The sequence below is a fragment of the Homo sapiens genome, chromosome 4 (genome assembly GCF_000001405.40).
Source record: "Homo sapiens chromosome 4, GRCh38.p14 Primary Assembly".
NCBI lineage: Eukaryota > Metazoa > Chordata > Mammalia > Primates > Hominidae > Homo > Homo sapiens.
Window position 1 is genome coordinate 25,195,371 of NC_000004.12, and position 24,012 is coordinate 25,219,382.

At 40.9% G+C, this 24,012-nt stretch overlaps 2 long non-coding RNA genes across 8 annotated transcripts in view; one reads left to right on the forward strand and one right to left on the reverse strand.

Annotated features, from left to right (window-relative positions):
* The window catches only part of SEPSECS-DT (SEPSECS divergent transcript), a 37,835-nt gene extending 34,699 nt beyond the window's left edge, over window positions 1–3,136 (forward strand). The window contains exon 2 of the long non-coding RNA NR_037934.1: window positions 2,098–3,136. This is a non-coding gene — a long non-coding RNA (SEPSECS divergent transcript). The remainder of the gene's footprint in view (window positions 1–2,097) is intronic.
* The window catches only part of LOC105374535 (uncharacterized), a 43,715-nt gene that overhangs the window by 5,220 nt on the left and 14,483 nt on the right, over window positions 1–24,012 (reverse strand). For 2 of the 7 annotated variants that reach the window (XR_007058086.1, XR_925490.3), the window contains exon 2: window positions 1,328–1,445. This is a non-coding gene — a long non-coding RNA (uncharacterized LOC105374535). Of the gene's footprint in view, window positions 1–1,327; window positions 13,695–24,012 lie in introns of those variants that run through there. The other 5 variants (XR_001741626.2, XR_007058085.1, XR_001741627.2 and 2 more) reach the window with 5 other exon arrangements.

Genomic DNA, 24,012 nt, shown 5'->3' on the forward strand with positions numbered 1-24,012 from the left:
AAAAGAATCTTATATACCCACAAAGTCTTCCTGTCTTTTTTCTTTTATCTTTTTTTTTTTTTTTTTTTTTTTTTTACAGGGTATCACCCTGTCACCCAGGCTGAAGTGCAGTGGTACAATCATATCTTACTACGACTTCTAACTCCTGGGCTCAAGTGATCCTCCTGCCTTGGCCTCCCAAATCTTCCCGCTTTTAAAGTCAATTCCAAAGAAGCCATCATATACCCTACACAGGAAGAGGAAAAGGCTTGTATTTAAGAAATGAGAATTGGCCAGGTGTGGTGGCTCACACCTGTAACCCCTTTGGGAGGCTGAGGCAGGAGGATCTCTTGAGGCCAGGAGTTTGAGACTAGCATGAGCAACATAGCAAGACGCTGTCTCTACAAAAAAGAAATAAAATAGTCAGGTAACATGACATAGGCCTGTAGTCCCAGCTACATAGGAGGCTGAAGCAGGAGGATCTCTTGAGCCTAAGAGGTCGAGGCTGAGTAAGCCACAATTGCACCACTGCACTCCAGCCTGGGTGACAAGAGACAGACTCTGTCTCAAAAAAAAAAAAAAAAAAAAAAAATGAGAATCAACTTAAGAAAAGCAAATGAAGCTCATGAGGGATGATACGACTTTCCTAGGCACCAGCTCTTGAAATTATCACCCCTTCCACCCATCCTCACAGCCTCCAGTTTTTAGAAAAGCATGAATAAGAGCAGAGGAGGAACTGGCCACCAGGATGCATGGAGAGACACCAGCATACTAAGTCTCTTAGGTCTCCACTAAAAAGATTTAGTGCTAGAAAGCTTCAGTGAAGTCTCCTATTCCTAAAATTCATTGCAGCCATAAAAGCACCGCCGTATTTTCATGAGCTATTAAAACAAACAGTTAAAAATAAAGTCCATTTGGTATCCAATATCCTTCACACGACTATATTTTTTCATGTATTTGTGAAGCAAAACAATTCATTTAACTGCAATACATCTCCTGTAACTGATTCAGATTTCCAGTCTATTTTGCATCCTGAAATAATAAACTGCAATTTCTCCAGCCATATAATTTATAAATTACATACACACATCACGACATTAAATACATTCTCTTAGTTTCTTCTCTTCAGTTTTCTCAACTGGTGTTTTATTTGGACAATTGATGAAATCACAAATGTTGAGCACCAGAGGAGTAAGAATAGTATAAAGGGAGGCTATTAGTATTTATTTGATACCTATCACATCACATGTTTTTTTTTTTTCACTTAATACTGATCCTGATCTTTAAAGCAATTGTTATTGTTCCCATTTTTCTGATGGAAAAGCCAGAAAGTGAGTAAGTTACTTACCCAAGTTTAAACAGCTATAAAATAGCTATGGCAGATACTGTTGGTTGCTTGTCTATAACCATTTTTCTTCTTCTTCTTTGCTGGCTGAACATGCTTCTCATTAAAGAAGTTGAAAATGCTGGAAACTCAAAAAGAAGGAAAATGCTGGAAACTTTTTTAAATTTTTGAAACAGGGTCTTGCTTTGTTGCCCCAGGCTGGAGTGCGGTGGCACTATCTCGGCTCACTACAACCTTGACCTCCTAGGCTCAAGCAATCCTCCTCCCTCAGCCTCCCAAAGTGCTGCTATCACAGGCATGAGCCACCACACCCAGTCATTGGAAACTCTTCATCCAGACTTTTCTGCTATGGCATGAGCATATCACCTAACCCAGCCAATGGGGCCAGAGGGAAAGCTTGCTGGAGAGTTATGAGAAAGTTTTTTTTTTTATTAAAAAATAAAATAAAATGCACAAACAAGGAGAACCATTCCCCTTCTCCTCACCTGCTTTTTGTATGTGGATGAGATCTTGTAATGATATTAATATAATACGAGAAACTGCAGAGACCATCTTAAGACCAGGAGGGTAGGAATGAGGAGATGAAGTTCAGTGCCCTAAAACACTCTAAAGAGGGTAAAAAGAAAAAGTGGTCCCTAATGTCTTTGATTCTCTCAATTGACTAACCCTGGAACTTCTCCAACTCAGGACTTAGGACTGTACGTGATGCATAGTAGCGTTTACCATTTATCGAATAAATAATTAAGTGACTTTTTTTTTTTTTTTTGAGACAGTCTCACTGTGTCGCCCAGGCTGGAGTGCAAGTGGCATGATCTTGGCTCACAACTGCAACCTCCGTCTCCCGGGTTCAAACGATTCTCCTACCTCAGCCTCCCGAATATCTGGGATTACAGGTGCCCACCACCATGCCTGGATAATTTTTAAAAATATTTTTAGTAGAGACAGGGTTTCACCAACTAGGCCAGGCTGCTCTTGAACTCCTGACCTCAGGTAATCCACCCGCCTTGGCCTCCCAAAATGCTGGGATTACAGGTGTGAGCCACCGCGCCTGACCAACTTTAGCTTTTCAAAATCTGTCTTCGTAGACGATAATGGAAATATCTACCAAAGCTAAATATTCACCTACCCCATGACCCAGCAATTTTACTCCTAGGTATATATACCAAAAAAAATGAGTGTTCTGTGTCCACTAGAGATATGTGCCAAAGTGTTCATAATAGATCCAAACTGGAAACAGCTCAAATGTCCATCAATAGCAGAAAGATAAACAAATGTTGGGATGTTCAGAGCTTGAAATATGACACAATATAAAAGGACAAACTATTAAAACTCACAACAGCATGGATAAATCTTACAGACATAATTATTGAGCAAAAGATACCAGAAACACAAAAGTATATACTGTCTGATTCCTTTAAATAAAGGTTAAGATGATTCTCCCTCCTGCAGCCTTGTGAAGAAGGTGCCTTTCTTCCCCTTCGCCTTCTGCCATGATTGTAAGTTTCCTGAGGCCTCCCCAGCCATGTTGAATTCTCATTGTCCCTGATAAAATAGCACCCTCTCTTCCTCTGCTCTTCCACCCTTTTCCTCTTCCGCTGTGCAACTGAAGACTGGGAAAGAATGACATGCAAAATAAGAGGTTTTGGATTCAGCGTAGGACTAACTACTGGATGCTACTTACAGAAAACTTTATATTTGTGCTGAAAAATCTTGTTATCTAGGTGAAAGCCAATGCTATCCTAATGACAAAATTGTTGGGGAAATAAATTTATAAGAGACTTTATTTAAAGAAATAAAAGAAAAAATAATAAAGCTTAAGACAAAAAACTAATCCATTTTGGTAGACATCAGCACTTACCTCTGAGAAGGAAAATGGTTACTGATGGGGAAGTGGGAGGCATAAGGGAATCTTCTGGGTGATGAAAATGTTCTATTTCTTGATCTGAATTGTAGTTACTTGGGTTTAGACATATGCTTAAAAATCGTCAAGTTATGTGTTTAAAACATGTGCACCTTACAGTATATAAGCCACACTTCAATTTTTTTAAAGGTCCCCACAACATTGTTGTTTTCAAGGAAGTACAGGAAATATCTTTTACTCTGTGTTAATTCAGGGAAGTTATCTCCATAAGTGCTTTACAAAATAATCTTCATAATATAGTAGCACCATTAAGTAGGCATTATTATCTCTGTATCACAAATGCACAATATGAGAGTCAGAGAGGTTAAGTTATTTTCCAAAGTCACACAGCTAATCAATGGCAAAGTTAGGATTTTTTTTTTCTTTTTTGAGACAGAGTCTTGCTCTGTCACCCAGGCTGGAGTGCAGTGGTGTGATTTCAGCTCACTGCAACCTTCGCCTCCCAGCTTCAAGCGATTCTCATGCCTCAGCCTCCCAGGTAGCTGGGATTTCAGGTGTGCAACCACCACACCCAGTTAATTTTTGTATTTTTGGTAGAGATAGGGTTTCACATGTTGGCCAAGCTGGTCTTGAACTCTTGACCTCAAGTGATCCACCTGTCTCAGCCTTCCCAAGTGCTGGGATTACAGGTGTGAGCCATCACACTCGGCCAAAGCTAGGATTTGAATATAAGTTTGTCTGACCCTCAAAACCCATGCTCCTTCCTCTGTGTTAGCCAACTTCCTGCATAGCCAACTTCCCAGGGTCATGGAAAGAATCATTAACGCAACCCAGGAATGCTCTCCCGGAGTGTGGCTATATCTAGAGAAATTGTGGAAAGAGGCCAGGCACGGTGGCTCACTCCTGTAATTCCAGCACTTTGGGAGGCCAAGGTGGGAGAATCATCTGAGGCCAAGAGTTCAAGACCAACTTGGACAACATAGTGAGAACCCTTTCTCTATTCAAAAAAAAGAAAGAAAGAAAGAATTTGCCTAAATAGAACAGAAAAGGCTGTATGTGCAAGACAGTTACTGCAGGTTTTATAATAGTAAAAAGCTAGAAAAAAACTAATTATTCAACAGTACATAATTAAGCAAATTAAAATACATATATTCAATAGGATATTAAGCAGCCATTAAAAGTCATACTTAAGAAAGCTTATGATATAATTTTCACTGAGGTAAAACTGAATAAAAGTTGCATGTACTTTAAGAATACAACCACGAAAAACAAAGCTTTTTAAACTTATGCACAGAGAAAGGAAAGGCCAGAAAGTGTTTGTATGTAAAGACCATTAGTATGTGTTGTCTGTGATTTTTTTCAGCTGTGTTTTGTAGCTTTTCCTTGTAGAGGTCTTTCACCTCCTTGGTTAGGTATATTCCTAAGTATCTTTTTTTTTGCAGCTATCGTAAAAGGGGTTGCATTATTGATTTGATTCTCAGTTTGGTCGCTGTTGGTGTATAGAAGAGCTACTGATTTGTGTATATTAATTTTGTATCCAGAAAACTTTCCTGAATTCTTTTATCAGTTATAGGAGCTTTCTGGAGGAGTCCTTAGGGTTTTCTAGGTAAACAATCATATCATCAGCAAACAGCGACAGTTTGACTTCTTCTTTACCAATTTGGATGCCCTGTATTTCATTCTCTTGTCTGATTGCTCAGGCCAGGACTTCCAATACTATGTTGAGGAGGAGCTCATGGATAGGTAGAATCAATATTGTGAAAATGACCATACTGCTAAAAGCAATCTACAAATTCAACACAATTCCCATCAAAATACCACCATCATTCTTCACAGAATTAGAGAAAACAATTCTAAAATTCATATGGAACCAAAAAAGAGCCCACATATCCAAAGCAATACTAAGCAAAAAGAACAAATCTGGAGGCATCACATTACCTGATTTCAAACTATGCTATAAGGCCATAGTCACCAAAACAGCATGGTACTGGTATAAAAACAGGCACATAGACCAATGGAACAGAAAAGAGAACTCAGAAATAAACCCAAATACTTACAGCCAATTGATCTTTGACAAAGCAAACAAAAACATAAAGTGGGGAAAGGACATCCTTTTCAACAAATGGTGCTGGGATAATTGGCTAGCCACATACAGGAGAATGAAACTGGATCCTCATCTCTCACCTTATACAAAAATCAACTCAAGATGGATTAAGGACTTAATCTAAGACCTGAAACTACAAAAATTCTAGAAGATATCATTGGCAAAACCCTTCTAGACATTGGCTTAGGCAAGGATTTCATAACCAAGAACCTAAAAGCAAATGCAATAAAACCAAAGATAATTGCTGGGACTTAATTAAACTAAGGAGCTTTCTCATGGCAAAAAGAACAGTCAGCAGAGTAAAGAGACAACCCACAGAGTGGGAAAAAACCTTCACAATCTATATGTCTGACAAAGGACTAATATCCAGAATCTATAAGGAGCTCAAACAAATTAGCAAGAAAAAAAAAATGATCCCATCAAAAAGTGGGCTAAGGACATGAATAGACAATTCCCAAAAGAAGATATACAAATGGCCAACAAACATAAAAAAATGCCCAACATCACTAATGATCAGGGAAATGCAAATCAAAACCACAATGTGATACCACTTTACTCCTGCAAGAATGGCCATAATCTAAAAATCGAAAAATAGTAGATGTTGGCATGGATGTGGTGATCAGGGAACACTTCTACATGGCTGGTGGGAATGTAAACTAGTATAGCCACTATGGAAAACACTGTGGAGATTCCTTAAAGAACTAAAAGTAAAACTACCATTTGATCCAGCAATCCCACTACTGGGTATCTATCAGAGGAAAAGAAGTCATTATACGAAAAAGATATTTGCACACGCATGTTTATAGCAGCACAATTCGCAATTGCAAAACCATAGCACCAACCCAAATGCCCATCAATCAATGAGCAGATAAAGAAACTGTGGTATGTATATATGATGGACTACTACTTAGCCACAAAAAGGAATGAATTAACGGCATTCACGGTGACCTGGATGAGACTGGAGACTATTATTCTAAGTCAAGTAACTCAGGGATAGAAAACCAACATTGTATGTTCTCACTCATAAGTGGGAGCTAAGCTATGAGGATGCAAAGGCATAAGAATGACACAATGGACTTTGAAGACTCAGGGGGAAAGGGTAGAAAGGGGGTGAGGGATAAAAGACTACAAATAGGGTGCAGCGTATACTGCTCGGGTGATGGGTGCACCAAAATCTCACAAATCACCACTAAAGAACTTACTCACATAGCCAAACACCATCTGTTCCTCAATAACCTATGGAAACTTTAAAAAAAATGAAAAATAAAAAATAAAAAATCATCTAAATTGGAAAAACAAAGACCGTTAACAACGTCTGACTCTGAAGAGTGTACTTTAATAAGGTGGGGGTAGGAGTTAGGATAGGTGAGGGGTTGGAGGGAGGATAGGGACTTTCATTTTTTGCTTTACAAATTCGGTATTTAACTTTTTTTTACAATAAACATGCATAATTTTATGATAAAAATTTTAACTAATTTGTTAAAAAAACTAGAAGAAAATTTACAAAATATGATTGTCTTTAAGTAATGGGATTTGGAAGATTTTTTGATGTCTTCTTTCAGCTTTTCTATGCTTCCTAAAATTCCTATAAAAAAGCACTTGTTTCTTTTTATTGGTGGGGGCGAAGTAAATTTATTTCAATGAGTTGATGCATTTGAAAGCGCTCTGGAATCTGTGAAGCACTTCAATTATAAAAAGTGATTTTATTACTATTATTGAAAATATTAAATGCTGGCAATGGCATTTTGTAATGGCAGAGGCAGATCCTCTATCCACCTGTCCAAGCACCCAGAATGGCTGCAGCCTCCACCTTCCTGAAAGTGAGAGGGAGGTTGGATAAACCACTACCTGCCCACCTGGAACAGTTGTAATGCTTAGGAGTTTTTCTGGCTGGACTTCAGGTGTTAAACTGGAAAATCATTTCTTGAGGCTGTGTTTCTCTGCCCTGGCTGCACATTCGGATCACCTGGGGAGTTTTTTAACAGCTGCACCCCCAGAGATTATTGCTTAGGGCAAGACACCTTGGGATTTTTGAAATTCTTCCTAGTTGATGTCAATAAACATGCGATGCTGTGGATAAACTCTAAGGTAGGTGCAGGGAAGAGTTTCAAACTCCTCCGGGAAAGTTTAACCAAAAAACTGAAAAACATTGCTTTCCTCAAACCAACCTGAGTTAAAAAATAAAAAAGTAAGAATTTTAATCACCAATTATATATTTACAGTTTACAAAGGTCATGGGCAGAGATAATGCCTTTTGATGATCTCATTTGATTCTGGTAACGCATGTAAACTGCTAACAGATATAACCACCTAGAGAATTCTGGACAGTAAGTGAAGCAGAAACCATTATTTACATTTTGCCCAGGAGAGAATTGAAAGGGAACAGTTCAGAGTTTCCCAAAATCAAATTACCAAAGATTTGAGCCCCAATACTCATACCTGAAACTACAGCATGTTGTTACCAGGAACTGGCTTATATCTTGAAGTTGCCAATTTCACTACAACAGAAGATTTGAGGAAGCCCCTTGCCTGCCTCCATCCTACTCATACCCAGAGCATAAAAAACAATAGAAACATATTGTGCATGGAGTTGTGCTATCACCCAATAGCTCTGCCTACCACAGGGCTTGGACACATAAGTAAGTGTACGTTGAATGAAACAATGAATGACTATCTTCTACAAGATAACATTTGATCCCCATTTTACAGAACAGGTAAGTAAGACTCCAGCAGAGAAGATAACATATCCGAGATCACAAAACCTGTAAGAGACAGAGCTAGAATGAGGGGGAGCTCAGGACGGCTGACTTTGTACTCTTCTCCTCCATGCTACTACCAACTGTAGTTTTTTAAAGACTAAGCCCCAAGGACAATGGCCGTAGAAACAATTTATGTAGAAACTCCTCTCTAGATATGATACACAGATACTATAATAGGAGGAATATTGAATAGGAGTTGGCAACAGTGATTTTCTATTATAATGTTTTATTGAAAACAATTTATTTTACATAAGATTTACTTCCATTATCCTTAGTCTGACTAATGACAATCTTCTGAAATGATTTTTTTAGAATTATTTTGCTTCCTGAAAAATTCACATAATATAGTATGTGACAGATCACCATAGTCATATATTTAGATTCACAATTACTAGATACAAATAAAACATAGCTAGAGAGACGACATCATACATGCTTTTAATCAGGAAAGAAAAGGACCTCTCCAATCAATGTCTTGCAAAACCATTAACCAAAGTCCTAAACTGAAGCTCAAATAATTGAAAAATGAAAATGATCTATCTACTCGTGACAGGGAGATTGCAGTTTTATAAAAATGTTGAATGCACGTATGGATGAAAGGGATTGACACTGTTATTTAGTAATTGGCTAACTATCAGTCATAGACAAATGTGAGAAATAACTAAGCTAAGAGCAGAAGTCAGAATTTTCTCCATTGCTGTCAAGAGGCCACAACATGTTCATTCAAAAGTTTGATGTTTAAATCATTAGTTACATGGAATAGAATTGACAATGGTTAAAGGTATTACAATTTATCCATCCGTCCATTCATCCATTTATCCATCCATCCGCTGGGTTTAACCACATGAAATTTCCCTATTTCCCAATTGTACTTAATGCTTATTAAACATGCTACCAGGTTTAACACACCATGTAAGGTTTGGAGAGTAAGGGTTAAATGAAAAACACTCTCTATCTCTGCAAATCTCCAATGGGGGGAGGGGAGGAAGCACACACGACAACTATTTATAGAAGAGTTACGAATGTACAAAGTGCTATGGGATTGTATTGACATATATGCATAGAAAGAACATAGAGCAAATTGTCAGCAGAAATGTGGTTGGTGGGAGTTTATGAAATTATTTTTCCTTTTGTTTAGCTCTATCTTTAAAACTTTTAATTTGATGAACATGTATTCTTTTTATAATTAAAAATTTTTAGAAAATGTACTATGGAGGTTGCAGAATTGATGGCTATGAATAGATATGTGTAAGATAAAGGATTTGAAAGTTAAAATACATGAAGCAATCTAGGTAAAATGATAAGTCAGATGCCAGACCATCTACCAAAGTAGAACTCTGAAGCCAGACACAGTGGCTCATGCCCATAATCACAGCACTATGGGAGCCTGAGGTGGGCAAATCGCTTGAGCCAAGAGTTTGAGACCAGCCTGGACAACATAGTGAGACACCGTCTCTATAAAAAATACAAAAAAATTGGCTGTGCATGGTGGTGCATACCTATAGTTCCAGCTACTTGGGATGCTGAGGTGGGAGGACCACTTGAGCCCAGGAGGTCTAGGCTGCAGTGAGCTGTGATTGAGCTACTGCATTCCAGCCTGGGTGACAGAGTGAGACCCTCTCTGTCTTTCTCTTTATATATATACATGTACACACACACACATATATACACACACACACACATACACACACACACACACACACACACATATATATATATATTTTTTTTTTTTAAGTAGAACTTCCTGACCCACAATCTGTAGTAACCAACCCATTATCTCTAGCCAACAGCCCAGGAAGCTAAACAATAACCCCTCTAGCCATTGGCCCAAAATGGCCAAGACTTGATTAATAACTGCCAGCTTCCCTAATTTTAATCCCTGCTTCCAACTCAAGGCCAACCAGAGAAAGCCAAATATTATACCCGAATCAATCACATAGGATGCCCTCTTTCTGGTTAGCTGCCTCCAACTTCTCCTGCCAACAGCCTCCCATTAGGGTGTACCTGAAGCCTTCCCTTTTTGTTACTATGAAACTTTCCCACCCCTCTGCCTGCCTTTGAGTCTCTGCCAAATACAAGTGATGGTGGCTGACTCCCTTGCTATAACAAGCTGTAAATAAGGAGCTTTTGCCTGCTCTCGTTTGAGTAGGTCTTTGTTTATTTCCATGGAAGAGAAGATAAATAGAATCAGGAATGAGCTTAGCACATAGAATGCAAATGGCAAAGTCTTATACATTTACGAGAAATGTGAATTATAGCAGCTCTCCATACCCCACTGTCTGCAGGAACTTGCTGGGTTCTGACTGAGCCCCAGGAAGATGAAGTTATTTTGCTTCCTTTTTTTCTTTTTGAGACAGAGTCTCACTCTGTCCCCAGGCTGCAATGCAGTGGCGTGATCTTGGCTCACAGCAACCTCCGCCTCCAGGGTTCAAGTGATTCTCCTGCCTCAGCCTCCCGAGTAGCTGGGACCACAGGTGTGTGCCACTACATCCGGCTAATATTTTTATTTTTAGTAGAGATGGGGTTTCACCATGTTGACCAGGTTGGTCTTGAACTCCTGACCTTAAGTGATCTCCCAACTCAGCCTCCCGAAGTGCTGGGATTACAAGCATGAGCCCCTGTGCCTGGCCTATTTTACTTCTTTTAATTTCCTTCTTCATACATTATTTCAGCATGCTTTACTCCCAACCCCTTAACCTGGGAAGGAAAATTAACAGCCATTGAATACCTCTGCTTTGGTTTGAACTTAGAAGGCTGAATCAGAATCAGAAGGTCTCGGAACCAGATTCAATTGCAATATAAACTCCATGAGGGAAGGAAGCATGTCTGTTCAGCCTCTCACCATGTGTCCAGTTGAATGATTGAAATCAACACATGGAGGCATCCGACACATCAGCACCATATGGTACCTGCAACAAGACAACCCAAATGACTAGATCATATTAAAAACCTATCTTGCTTCCCTGAAATTACTGAACCAAGACACAGTCAGAGAAAATCTGTGGTCCAGCATACCATATATGGCCCAAGTAGACTAGCCACACAGAAGACAAAGATCAGCTCATCATTCCCTAGTAATTTGTCCTATGGTGCTCAGTGCTTAGTCAGATACAGCTGTGTTTCTAAACTCCATCTTTCTCTTGTTCTCACTGGATAGTAAACATGAATTGCTGTTAATAATAATTTTCCACTGCACATCCAGAACAATCCATCCAGAGAAAATTGGAACTTCTTCTTTACTGAGGTCCAGTCCCATCAATTTGATGCTCATTTTATAGAAAGGCCATTGAGCAAAATTAATGTACTCAAACAAATAGAGTTTGTCCTTGTAGCTGATTCAGAGTATGACAGGAAACAAAAGGGCTGCCTTAATGGCCTCCTCTGGGAAATTTATTTTCAGAACATTGAGTTATTTTCTCCTACTCTATCAGATTAGATTAAAATCTTTTTTAAAAAAGAAAGAAAAATAAAACTTAGTTGTCTGTTTTCATAGAAATCACTTTGAGATCTAGCTCCATTTAAATTCTCTTGTTATTGTCTAAGTCAAATAATGTTACAATCTGAGTTATTTTACTTTCCATTTTCTTTACACCACCCCTAGCATGGTTTTTCCCCAGCCCCTTAACCTGAAAAAGAAAATTGGGACCCACACATGCTCGGAATGAAAGTATTTGAGCCTTTTAAAGATACTACTATACCTTGCCATGAGAGAATGCATTGGACTGTTATCCAAAAACTGTGGTTTGAGGTGTTTTTTTGTTTTTTGCTGTATTGGACAGGTCAATGATGTTATCTGCCTCACTCTCAATCACAAGGAAAGAAAAAAATGCCTCCCCTACAATCTCCATGGAAAAAACATGTTATATTCCACATGACCTGCCTTTGTCCTCCCACATCATAGCTAATTGTCTGCAAAAGCAGCCAGCCCTTGGGCTAACCTATGGAGTGGCCAGACATAAAAAAAAAAAAAACCATACCCAAACAGAAAAGAATGTAGCCAAAGGAGCCAACCAGAGTAGCGTCGTCAGAAATTAGGATTAGAAAATATAGAAGAGAAAATCAGTTGGGTAGCAATAAGAGATGATAAAAATTTGCAAAGAGAAGGCATGTGCAAGCTCATCTTCCTGTTAAGCAGTAGCCATCAGGAAGGCATGCACAGAAGGTGGGTCACTGGTAGATAGCAGCAACAAGAACAGAAGCAATAGGGCAGAGCTGAGTCCTCAGGATGGCAGGGAACTGGTGACATTTTGCTGCTCAGGAACAAGGAGAAAACCTAGTTCCTGGTCAGGTTTCCTTCGGGCCTGGCTAGATGGCAATTCTTGTCACATGAGCTTTCTATCATCCTTAACGTGTGTGTCTAAAAAGAAAACAAGGAAACTCCCCCCAAAAATCCTATTACTTGCAGGAACCTGAGTGTGCCTCTCTTTTTTAATACAAAAGGGCTGAGCATAAACACACACACACACACATACACACACACACACACACTCACCTACCTCTAAAAAATAAACCTCATCACATCTGGATATTCTTAACCTTCCAGCACAAAGAGGAGTAGCAAAGTGGAGAAGAGCCCACATTTACAGGCAGGAGTTGCGAGTTCTAACCCAGCTTAACTACTATTTTTGATGTAGTCATGGATAAGGGGCTTATCATCTCTAAACCATTACTTCAACTAGAAAATGGAGTTGGATGAGATACATTCATTTGGTAAATATTTACTGAGTGTCTACTATGTGACTAGTTCTGTGCTGGCTAATGGGAGCATAACAGTGCACTAAGCATGGTTTTTTGGTTCTTCTGGCTTATGTTGTAGTTGGCAGTACAGATAGGTAAACAGGTTATTACAAAATTGTGTAATGTTAGCATATGTTGGAGGTAGAGAGTTTTCTTTGGAGCCAAAAGAGGGTACCTAATCTGGATGGGGCAGGAGACCCTTCCAGAGGTCTTCCTAGGGGACATTAAGACCTGGATGAGGAAATGTTGGTCTACCACATTGAGTGGCTGGGTATCTTCTGGCTGGACAGAAGAAAAGAAGAAGAATCCATGTGATAGTGTGGGGCTGTTGATGAAAAAGCCAAACTCTATAAAATATTTGAAGAGATTTGTTCTGAGCCAGATGTGGAGACCATGACCAATGACACAGCCCCAGGAGGTCCTGAGAACCTGTGCCCGGGGTGGTTGTGGTACAGCTTGGTTTTATATGTTTCAAGGAGACATAAGACCTCAATCACTACATGTAAGGTATACATTGGTTCAGTTCAGAAAGGTGGGTCAACTCCAGTGGGGGCTTACAGGTCACATGTGGATTCAAAAGTTTTCTGACTGCCAATTAGTTGAAAGAGTTAAGTTATTATCTAAAGACGTGTAATAAACAGAAATGAGTGTCTGGGTTAAGACAAGGGGTTGTGGAGACCAAGATTATTATGTAGATGAAGTCTCATAAGTGGCTGCCCTTAGAGGCAATAGATGGCAAATGTTTCCTACTTAGACCTTTGAAAGGTGCTAGACTCCCAGCTAATCTCTTCAGGATCAGAAGAAGACCTGGAAAAGGAAGAGGAGTCTCTACAGGATGTAAATTTCCCCCACAAGAGACAGCTTTGCAGGGCCGTTTCAAAATATGTCAAAGAAATATATTTGGGAACTTGTTGCAGTGACTCACACCTGTAATCCCAGCACTTTGGGAGGCTGAGTTGGGCAGATTGCTTGAGCCCAGGAGTTGGAGACCAGCCTGGGCAACATGGTGAGACCCTGTCTCTACAAAAAAATACACAAAAATTAACCAGGCATGGTAGTGCGTACACCTATAGTCCCAGCTACTTGGGAAGCTGAGGTGGGAGGATCATATGAGCCCAGAGGTTGAGGCTTCTGTGAGCCATGGTCTATGCCACTGCACTCCAGCCTGAGTGACAGAGTGAGACCTTTCCTCAAAAAAAGAAAAGAAAAAGAGGCCAGGCACGGTTGCTCATACCTATAATCCCCAGCACTTTGGGAGGCCGAGGCAGGCAGATTGCCTGAGGTCAGGAGTTCAAGACCAGCCTGGGCAACATGGTGAAACCCTGTCTCTACTAAAAATACAAAAATTAGCCAGGCATGGTGGCAGGCGCCTGTAATCCCAGCTACTTGGGAGGCTGAGGCAGGACAATCGCTTGAGCCTGGGAGGTGGGGGTTGCAGTGAGCCAAGATCACGCCATTGCACTCCAGCCTGGGTGACGAGCAAAAAAAAAAAAGAAAGGAAAAGAAAAAAATATATATTTTGAGGTAAAATACTTTAATTTCTTTCAAGACCTGCCATCAGTGATGTGATGCTATACTAGAGTCAGGTTGGAATTTGGTGTCTTATTGCTAAAAAGAGTCTGTTTTTTCAGTCTTAAGATCTCTGTTTTAATATTAATGCTGGTCAGATGAGCCTGAATTCCAAAGGGAGGACAGTATAATGAGGCGTATTCAACCCCTCTTCCCATCATGGGCTGAACTAGTTTTTCAGGTTTCTTTGGAATTCCCTTGACTAGGAGGAGGGGTCCATTCAGCCTGTTGGGGGTACTTAGAATTTTATTTTTGGTTTACAGGACCAAAGCCCTTGGCTGCCTAAAGGTTAGCTGAAAAATCAACTGACATGAGGCAGATTGATTAATAGGAGAAAAGGCATACAAATTTATTTAACACAGGAGACTTCAGAATGAAGACTCAACCTCCCAGTGAGGTACAGAAGCTTATGTACCATCTTGAGTTTACAGAAAGAATAGGGGCCTGGATCCTGGTGAAATGGATTATGGGATGGGGAGAAGTGGAATTTCACTGAGGGGCAATAAATGGTTTGTAGGGAGAATGACTGGATAGGAGAACAGAAATTAACTTGTAAATAGTTCTCTTTGGAATGTATATGAAACTTTGAGACAGTCAATACCTTGAATAAGGTCTGTTCAGGTGTGGTTACATTCTTGATCTTCTTTCCTGTAATGGATCTTAAGATAACAAGGAAGGGAACAGGAGCAATTGTTCTCCTTGGTGGGACAGTCCTATCTTTACGTAGATAGGGGAAAGTTTCTTCCAGAGCTTGTTGATCTTTAAGGGTTTTTACTTTAAAATACTCATTATACCAGGGAGCCATATTTTCTGGTGAACTATTTTTATTTCCTTCATTAGCTTTATGTGTCAATTTGTGTTTACAATTGGACAAGCTTGCTCTACGGAAAACAAATTTGTGGCAGAGAATTAGTGACACCTTTAGTTGCTTGTCCAATATCTTTTCCTCCCTTAGCTCTTACAGGCAAAATTATAGTTTTAAGGTATCCATGTCTCCTCCAGGTAACTCAGAGAAATGGGATCATATTCCCAACTCTGGGGATAAATCCTGATTGGTCCAAATCAATACAGATGGTCTCATTCTCTTTATTAGTAATTGAGGGTTTAGTGGTGGGCATGTGAACCGGTTTTGGCCAGTGAGCTTTGAGGGGGATATTTTTTGAGGGGGATATCTTGCAAACCATGCTCATCCTCTACTCTCACACCAACACAACAACAATCAACACAGAAGATTTCTGTGACCAAATATGGGGAGTTTTACCCACACACCAAGCAGCAGACAGCAGCTGGGGGTCCTCTAATTCAATTCCAGCACTATCTACCAAGAGATAGCATCAGATCCCAAGGTTGGGGGCTCAGTCCCCAAAACTGCCCCTCCCCCACCAGTAACAAGTCTGGGCCTGTGGAATGTCTGATGACTGGCTTCAATTTGGGATTACCACAACCCTCCTTTTGGGTTCAATTAGTTTGCTGGAAAAGCTCACAGAATTCAGGGAAACACATTTATCAGCTTATCATAAAGGATTTTTCAAAGAATACAGATGAAGAGACAAATAGGGTGAGGTATGGTCAAGGTGCATGGAGCTTCCATGCCTTGCAACCCCCACCCCCTAGGAACCCTCATGTGTTTAGCTATCTAGAAGTTCTCGAAAACCAGTCCTCTTGGGTCATTATGGAAACTACATGATGGCAGGATTCCTTCCTCCAGGTTATAGGGCCGGATGAAGTTGGGAGTATAGGACAGGGGAAGGAGGGGAATGATTAGAATCCTGCCTTGGGGCATGTGAAAGGAGGGCAGGAGAAGATCAGAGAGACAAATTTTGTTTTCTGAGGCCTGATCTAAGGCCTAACATACTAACACAACCAACATTATAACAAGGCTGTTACAATGGCTATGGGAGTTGTAAGCCAGGAACCATGGATGAAAACATATATATATATATAATAGCATCACACCTTGATTAGTCTATAGTGTCCAGTCTAATCAAACACTAATCCGAGTGTTGCTGTGAAGATATTTTGTAGATGTGGTTAGCATCTACAATCGGTTAATTTTAAGTAAAGGGTATTACCTTCCACAATGTAGGTGGGCCTCATCCAGTCTATTGAAAGGCCAAAAGAGCAAAAACAGGTTTCTCAGGGAGGGCATTCTGCCTCAAGACTGCAGCATCAACTCCTGCCTGAGTTTCCAGCCTGCCCTACAAATTTTGAACTTGCCCGCCCCCACAATCACATAAGCCAGTTCCTTGAAATAAATCTTTTATAGGTTGGTGTAAAAGTAACTGAGGCTTTTGCAATTACTTTTGCACCAACCTAATATATCCTATTGGTTCTGTTTCTGTACAGTCCAAGTTCAGGCATACACACAAGCCCTAAGATGGAGAGGAAGCCAGAAGGAGTGGCTTATAATTAATGAGGAGAGCAGTGTGCAGAGCCCACAAGGCCTTGTAAACCCAAATAGGATTTCAGGATTACATTCTATGTACCATAGGAAGCCATTGAAGTTTTTAGGTGAGGAAGAACATAATTGGAAATGCAAGTTGAGAAAAGTATTCTGGTTGCTCTGTAGCAAGGGTGTCCAATATTTTGGCTTCCCTGGGCCACATTGGAAGAATTGTCTTGGGCCACATATAAAATACACTAATGATAGCTGATGAGCTAAAAAAAATAAAAGCCACAAAAAACACCTAATAATGTTTTAAGAAAGTTTATGAATTTGTGTTGGGTTGCATTCAAAGGCATTCTGGGATGTGTGCAGGCTGCAGGTTGGACAAGCTTGCTCAACAGAAAAGAGATTTGTGGCAGAGGGTCTTGATGACACCTTTAGTTGCTTGTCCAATATCTTTTCCTCCCTTAGCTCTCACAGGCAAAATTATAGTTTTGTTAAGGTGTCCATCTTTTCTCCAGATAACTCATAGAAATAGGATCATATTCCCAACACTGGGGATAATTCCTGATTGGTCCAAGTCAGTACAGATGGTCTCATTCTCTTTGTTAGTAATTGATTGGTTTAGTAGTGGGCATGCGAACCTGTTTTGGCCAGTGAGCTTTGAGAGGAATATCTATTGTGGGAGACTTCTGGGGAAAGTATCCTTATTCATAGGAACGCACTAGGAGACAGTCTCTTCCTGCATCTGGATGTGGCCATGACTGGGTGTGAAGCTGCTGAAAACAGCTGCAGCCATCTTTCACCCATGAGGGTAGCAGCCTGAGACTAAAGATGACAAGCTAAGCATAGATGAGCTAAAAGATAGAAAGAACCTGGGACTCTGGTGACAATGATGAACTGCTGAGTCAGCCAGCTCCCAAACTTGCCCTATTGCTAGCCTTCCTCCTATGTGAGATAATAAATTTCCTTTAAACCAACTGGAATCAAGATTTCTGCATTTGCTGCCCATGGTATCCTAACTATTTGCAGGACTAGAGTGGAAGTGAGATTTAGTTGAGAGACAGTTGTGGTGGTCAGGACAGATATGATGATGGCTTGGACTATGGTGGTAGTGGTAGGGAGAAAGAAAAGCAGATGATTCAAGAGATATTTCAGAAGTAGAATCAATAGGGTTAAAAGTGGAGGAATGTATGGATCCATATAGATGAAGTCATTAGGAATGTTCTGTACATGTTGACAATTAATAGATTAATATGCCATTTGAAAATTTCTTATCAAACAGGAATGATTATGACTGTACTTCTGATGTTCTTTTGCATCTAATCTAATCCATTGCCCAATAATACCAACTCTGAGATTAGAAGTTAAAAATAGTATCATCACGTAAGGTTGGTTTTTAACCTCTGTCAGAGTCCAAAAGTCTAATTCAAGGAGCAGAAACTACTCTGCAGCCACTATGGAGTGTTTCCTCAAAGCCAAGAGTGACAGTTTCCACAGCCAGAGCTTCCTTGGACAAATTAAGTTTTCTTTTATCCTGAAGCCAGCTTGATAAGAAAGCTTAGCAGAAGAAAACTGTCATGTTGTTAGTGTAGCTGGTGCATCTTCTTAGGTCTGGGATGTTTAGAAACATGTACACCTTGTTCTCTCCCTATCCTGTCTCAGAGTAGGCCTGTCACACACCCAGTAGGGAAGGGACGGACCCTGCTGATGAAGCTCTGAGCACATCCAAGATGTTCTGCAGAGTTCATGGAACTACATTCAGTATCCAGTACTTCATAGGCAGATTTTATGGAAGATTTCCATTCAACAAAGAGCTTTTGTTGTCAGAATTTGGAATCATGGTCTTTTCATCCACGAAACAGCATAAATCTGGTCACATTCAGGAAGTGATTTTTCTTGTGCTCACTCTTTGTTGTGACCACTTCTTAGGTTTGCTCAGTGGTTCTCTTTCTGTGATAGTCACAGATTCTAGGAAAGTTATACTAATGACACACTGAGGCTTTTGATGAGACTGTCTATCTGATAATAACAGGTGTATGTTACTGCACTAAGTTTTTATAATGGGTTGAATAGCTTCCCCCTCAAATTCATGTCCCCTGGAAACCCAAGAACTTGACTTTATTTGGAAATAGGGTCTGTGCAGATGTAATTACTCAAGATGAGGTCATACCGTACTAAGGTGGGAGCTAAATCCAATGACTGATTTCCTTATAAGAAGAGGAGAAGACACGCAGAGATACACAGAGAGAAGACCATGTAACAACAGAGCAGAGATTGGACGGATTATCTACAAGCCAGGGAACACCAAGGATTACTGGGAGCCACCAGAAGCTGGGAAGAGGCAATGTATTAGACCATTCTCATGCTGCTGTAAAGACACTACCTGAGAGTGGGTAACTTATAAAGAAAGGAGGTTTAATTGACTCAGTTCTGCATGGCTGGGAGGCCTCAGGAAACTTAGAATCATGATGGAAGGTGAAGGGGAATCAGGCACCTTCTTCACAGGGCAGGAGGAGGTAGAAGGGATCTGCCAAACACTTTCAAACCATCATATCTCATGAGAACTCATTCAGTATCATGAGAACAGCATTGGGGAAACAGTCCCCATAATCCAATCACCTCTTACCGGGTCTCTCCCTCAACATGTGGGGATAACAATTCAAGATGAGATTTGGGTGGGGACACAGAGCCAAAGCATATCACTCTGTCCCTGGCTTCTCCCAAATCTCATGTCCTTCTCACATTTCAAAACATAATCATGCCTTCCTAACAGTCCCCCAAAGCCTTAACTCATTCCAGCATTAACCCAAAAGTCCAAGTCCAAAGTCTAATTTGACACAAAGCAAGTCCCTTCCCCCTAGCAGCCAGTAAAATCAAAAGCAAGTTGGCTACTTCCAAGATACGATGCAGGTACAGGCATTGGGTAAATGTTCCCATTCCAAATGGGAGAAATTGGCCAAAACAAAGGGGCCACAGGCTCCATACAAGTCCAAAACCTGGCTGGGCACTCATTAAATCTTAAAGCTCCAAAATAATCTTTTTTGACTCCATGTCTCACACCCAGAGCATGCTGATACAAGAGCTGGGCTCCCAAAGTCTTGGGCAGCTCTGCCCCTGTGGCTCTGCAGGGTACAGCCCCCAGGCTGGCATTGAGTGCCTGAAGCTTTTCCAGGTGCATGATACAAGATGTCAGTGGATCTACCATTCTGGGGTCTGAAGGATGGTGGCCCTCTTCTCACAGCTCCACTTGACAGTGCCCTAATGGGGACTCTGTGGGGGCTCCAACCTCACATTTCCCCTCTGCATTGCCCTAGGAGAGGCTCTCCGTGAGAGCTCCATTCCTGCAGCAGACTTTTGCCTAGACATTCAGGCATTTCCATACATCCTCTGTAATCTAGGCAGAGGTTCTCAAACCTCAAATCTGGTCTTCTGTGCACCTGCAGGCCCAACACCATGGGGAAACTGCCAAAGCTTGGGGCTTGGACCCTCTGAAGCCATGGCTCAAGCTGTACTTTGGCCCCTTTTAGCCACGGCTGGAGCTGAAGTGGCTGGAACACAGGGCACCAAGTCCTGAGGCTGCACAGAGCAGCAGGGCCCTGGGCCTGGCCTGTGAAACTATTTTTTCTTTCCTAGGCCTCTGGGTTTGTGATGGGAGGGGCTGCTGCTAAGAGGTCTGAAATGCCCTGGAGATATTTTCCCCATTGTCTTGGAGATTAACATTTGGTTCCTCATTACTTATGCAAATTTATTCAGCCAGCTTGAATTCTTCCCCAGAAAATGGGTTTTTCTTTTTCTTTTTTTTTTTTTTTTGGAGATAGAGAGTTTCACTCTTGTTGCCCAGGCTGGAGTGCAATGGTGTGATCTTGGCTCACGCAACCTCCACCTCCCAGATTCAAGTGATTCTCCTGCCTCAGCCTCCCAAGTAGCTGGGATTACAGGCATGTGCCATCACGCCCAGCTAGTTTTGTATTTTTAATAGAGATGGGGTTTCTCCGTGTTGGTCAGGCTGGTCTCGAACTCCTGACCTCAGGTGATCCATCCAGACCCAGCCAAAAATAGGTTTTTCTTTCCTACCACAAGGTCAGGCTGCAAATTTTCCAAACCTTAATGTTCTGCTTCCCTTTCAAACATAAGTTCCAATTTCAAACCATCTCTTTGTGAATACATATGACATTTCTGCATGCTTTTAGAAAAAGCCAGGTTACTTCTTGAACTCTTTTGCTTTTTAGAAATTTCTTCCACCAGATACCCTAAATAATCTCTCTCAAGTTCAAATTTCCACAGATCTTTAGTGCAAGGGCAAAATGCCACCAGTCTCTTTGCTAAAGCATAGCAAGAGTGACCTTTACTTCAGTTCCCAACAAGTTTTTTATCTCCATCTGAGACCACCTCAGCCTGGACTTCACTGTCCATATCACTGTCAGCATTTTGGTCAAAACCATTCAACAAATCTCTAGAAAGTTCCAAATATTCCCTCATCCCTCATCTTCCTGTCTTCTTCTGAGTCCTCCAAACTGTTCTAATCTCTGCTGGTTACCCAGTTCCAAAGTTGCTTCCACATTTTTAGATTATCTTTATAGCAGTACCCCACTATCCTGGTGCCAATTTTCTGTATTAGTTTGTTCTCACACTCCTGTAAAGATACACCCTGAGACTGTGTAATTTATAAAGAAAGGAGGATTTTTTTTTTTGGAGATGGAGTCTTGCTCTGTTGCCCAGGCTGGAGTGCAGTGGCGCAATCTTTGCTCACTGCAACCTCCATCTTCCAGGTTCAAGTGATTCTCTCGCCTCAGCCTCCCAAGTAGCTGGAGTTACAGGCACCCATCACCATGCCCAGCTAATTTTTTTTTTTGTATTTTTAGTAGAGACAGTTTCACCATGTTGGCCTGACTGATCTTGAACTCCTGACCTCAAGTGATCTGCCCACCTCGGCCTCCCAAAGTGCTGGGATTATAGGTGTGAGTCACCATGCCTGGCCAAGAAAAGAGGTTTAATTGATTCACAATTCTGCATGGCTGGGGAGGCCTCAGGAAACTTACAATCATGGTGGAAGGTAAAGGGGAAGCAAGCACGTTTTTCACAGGCAGAAGGAGAGAGAGAGTGGGGGAACTGTAAAACACTTTAAACCATCAGATCTCACTCACTGTCATGAGAACAGCATGGAAGAAAATGCCCCCATGATCCTTTCACCTCCCACCAGATCCCTCCCTCTACATGTGGGGATTACAATTCAAGATGAGATTTGGGTGGGGACACAGAGCAAACCACATCAAGCGAGGAAGGATTTTCCCCCAGAGCCTTCAGAGGGAGCATGGTCCTGCCAACACCTTGATTTCCAACTGTGAGGGCATAAATTTCTGATGCTTTAAGCCACTCAGTTTGTGGTAATTTTTATGGCAGCCCTAGGAAACTAATATAGGTTTCAAGGGTTGAGCCACAGGCCTCTCTGCAGGCCCAGATGTGTTCACTCCATTCTTTCTCTCTGCCACAGGTTTAGGGATTTGGCTTATTTTTCTTTTTTTTCAGCAACTGCCATCACCCACTCTCTCCTCTCATACAAGCCCAGCCGCAGAGTGGTACACATTGTTTCTGAGACAGGATCTCACTCTGTTGCCTAGGCTGGAGTGCGGTGGTACAATCACAGCTCACTGCAGCCTCAACCTCCCTGGACTCAAGCCATCCTCCCATCTCAGCCCCTCGAGTAGCTGGGACTACAGGTATGCACCAGTGCATCCAGCTAATTTTTTTTTTTCTTTGTAGATACAGGGTTTCACCCTGTTGCCCAGGCTGGTCTCAAACTCCTCAGCTCAAGTGATCTCCCACCTCAGCCTCTCAAAGTGCTGGAATTACAGGCGTGAGCCACTGTGTCCAGCCTATATAACTTGTTAAACCTCAGTTCCTGCACTCTAGTTCCTGAATTTGTCCAGCATATGAAATTAAATTAGCCTTGGATATTTTAGTTTTCTGTTAAAATGAAAAACAAACAAAAATTGAATTATATAATTATATAGTTATAAAATTTAAAAACTTTCTTAAAAATAATATAAAACAGCACAAGCTGTATAATACCAATGCATTATAATTAAGTACATACATTTTTAATCACCACCATAGCCTCGCATCCCATGAACCTGTTCTCATCACAGACCAGGATTTTGCCTGGCAAAGTCCCTGATACACAATAGGTGGTAGATACATGTTTAGTCCAGTGGAAAGAAAATCCTCTGCTTTAGCATTTTGGTAACCTTTCTCACAGTATGATAGATTAATAAGCCAATCAAACAGAGGACAGGTGAATTTTTTGTGCAGAGGACAAATGGAAGGTGGAGAAAACTCATATCACTTTGAATATCGTCCAAGCAATGCAGCACCTGTGGGTATGTATGAAAATCAAAGTGCTCTGAGTTGATGGGATATAACTATGTAAAAGAAAAGTAATCATGGGCTCTGGAGTTAAAGACACCTGGGTTCAAATCCCAATTCTTCTGTTTACTAGCTATGGGAAGATGAATGAGTTATTTAGCTCCTCTGAATCTCAGCTTCCTCATCTGAGAAAGATGAGGGTAAAGATGGAGGCAATATAAGTAAAGTGTGTGTTTGTTGTGTTGTAGGGTCTCTGTAAATGCTTGGTGCTGTTGTTCGTAATTTCGCTTCTTCCTGCAAATCATTTTTCATATCAGAAGAACACATTCACCTTGTTCTTGAAGGTCATTCCCAGATTATAATGATGGTAGATTGGAGATCAAATATCTGGAAGAAAACAATCTTATTTCCCCATGACCAGGGAGTACATTGAGTTGACTGGTATTCCTTTTTCTTAGAAACTTCAGGTATAAATTAACTAGGCGTAGTGGCAGGTGCCTGTAATCCCAGCTACTCGGGAGGCTGAGGCAGGAGAATCGCTTGAACCTGGGAGGTGGAAGTTGCAGTGAGCCAAAATTGTGCTATTGCACTCCAGCCTGGACAACAAGACTGAAACTCCATCTCCAAAAAAAAGAAAAGAAAAGAAAAGAAACTTCAGGTATAAATTAACTTCAGCTTTCACTAGCAAAGTATGTATAGTTGACCCTTGAACAAAGTGGGGTTTAAGGGTGCCAGCCTTCCTCACAGCCGCAAATCTGAGTATAATTTTTGACTCTCCAAAAACTCAAATAACTAACAGCCTACTGTTGACCAGAAGCCTTACCGATAACAGTCAATTAGAAAATATTTGGTATGTTATGTATCATATACTATATGTATATGTATTTTATATGTATTACTGTATTC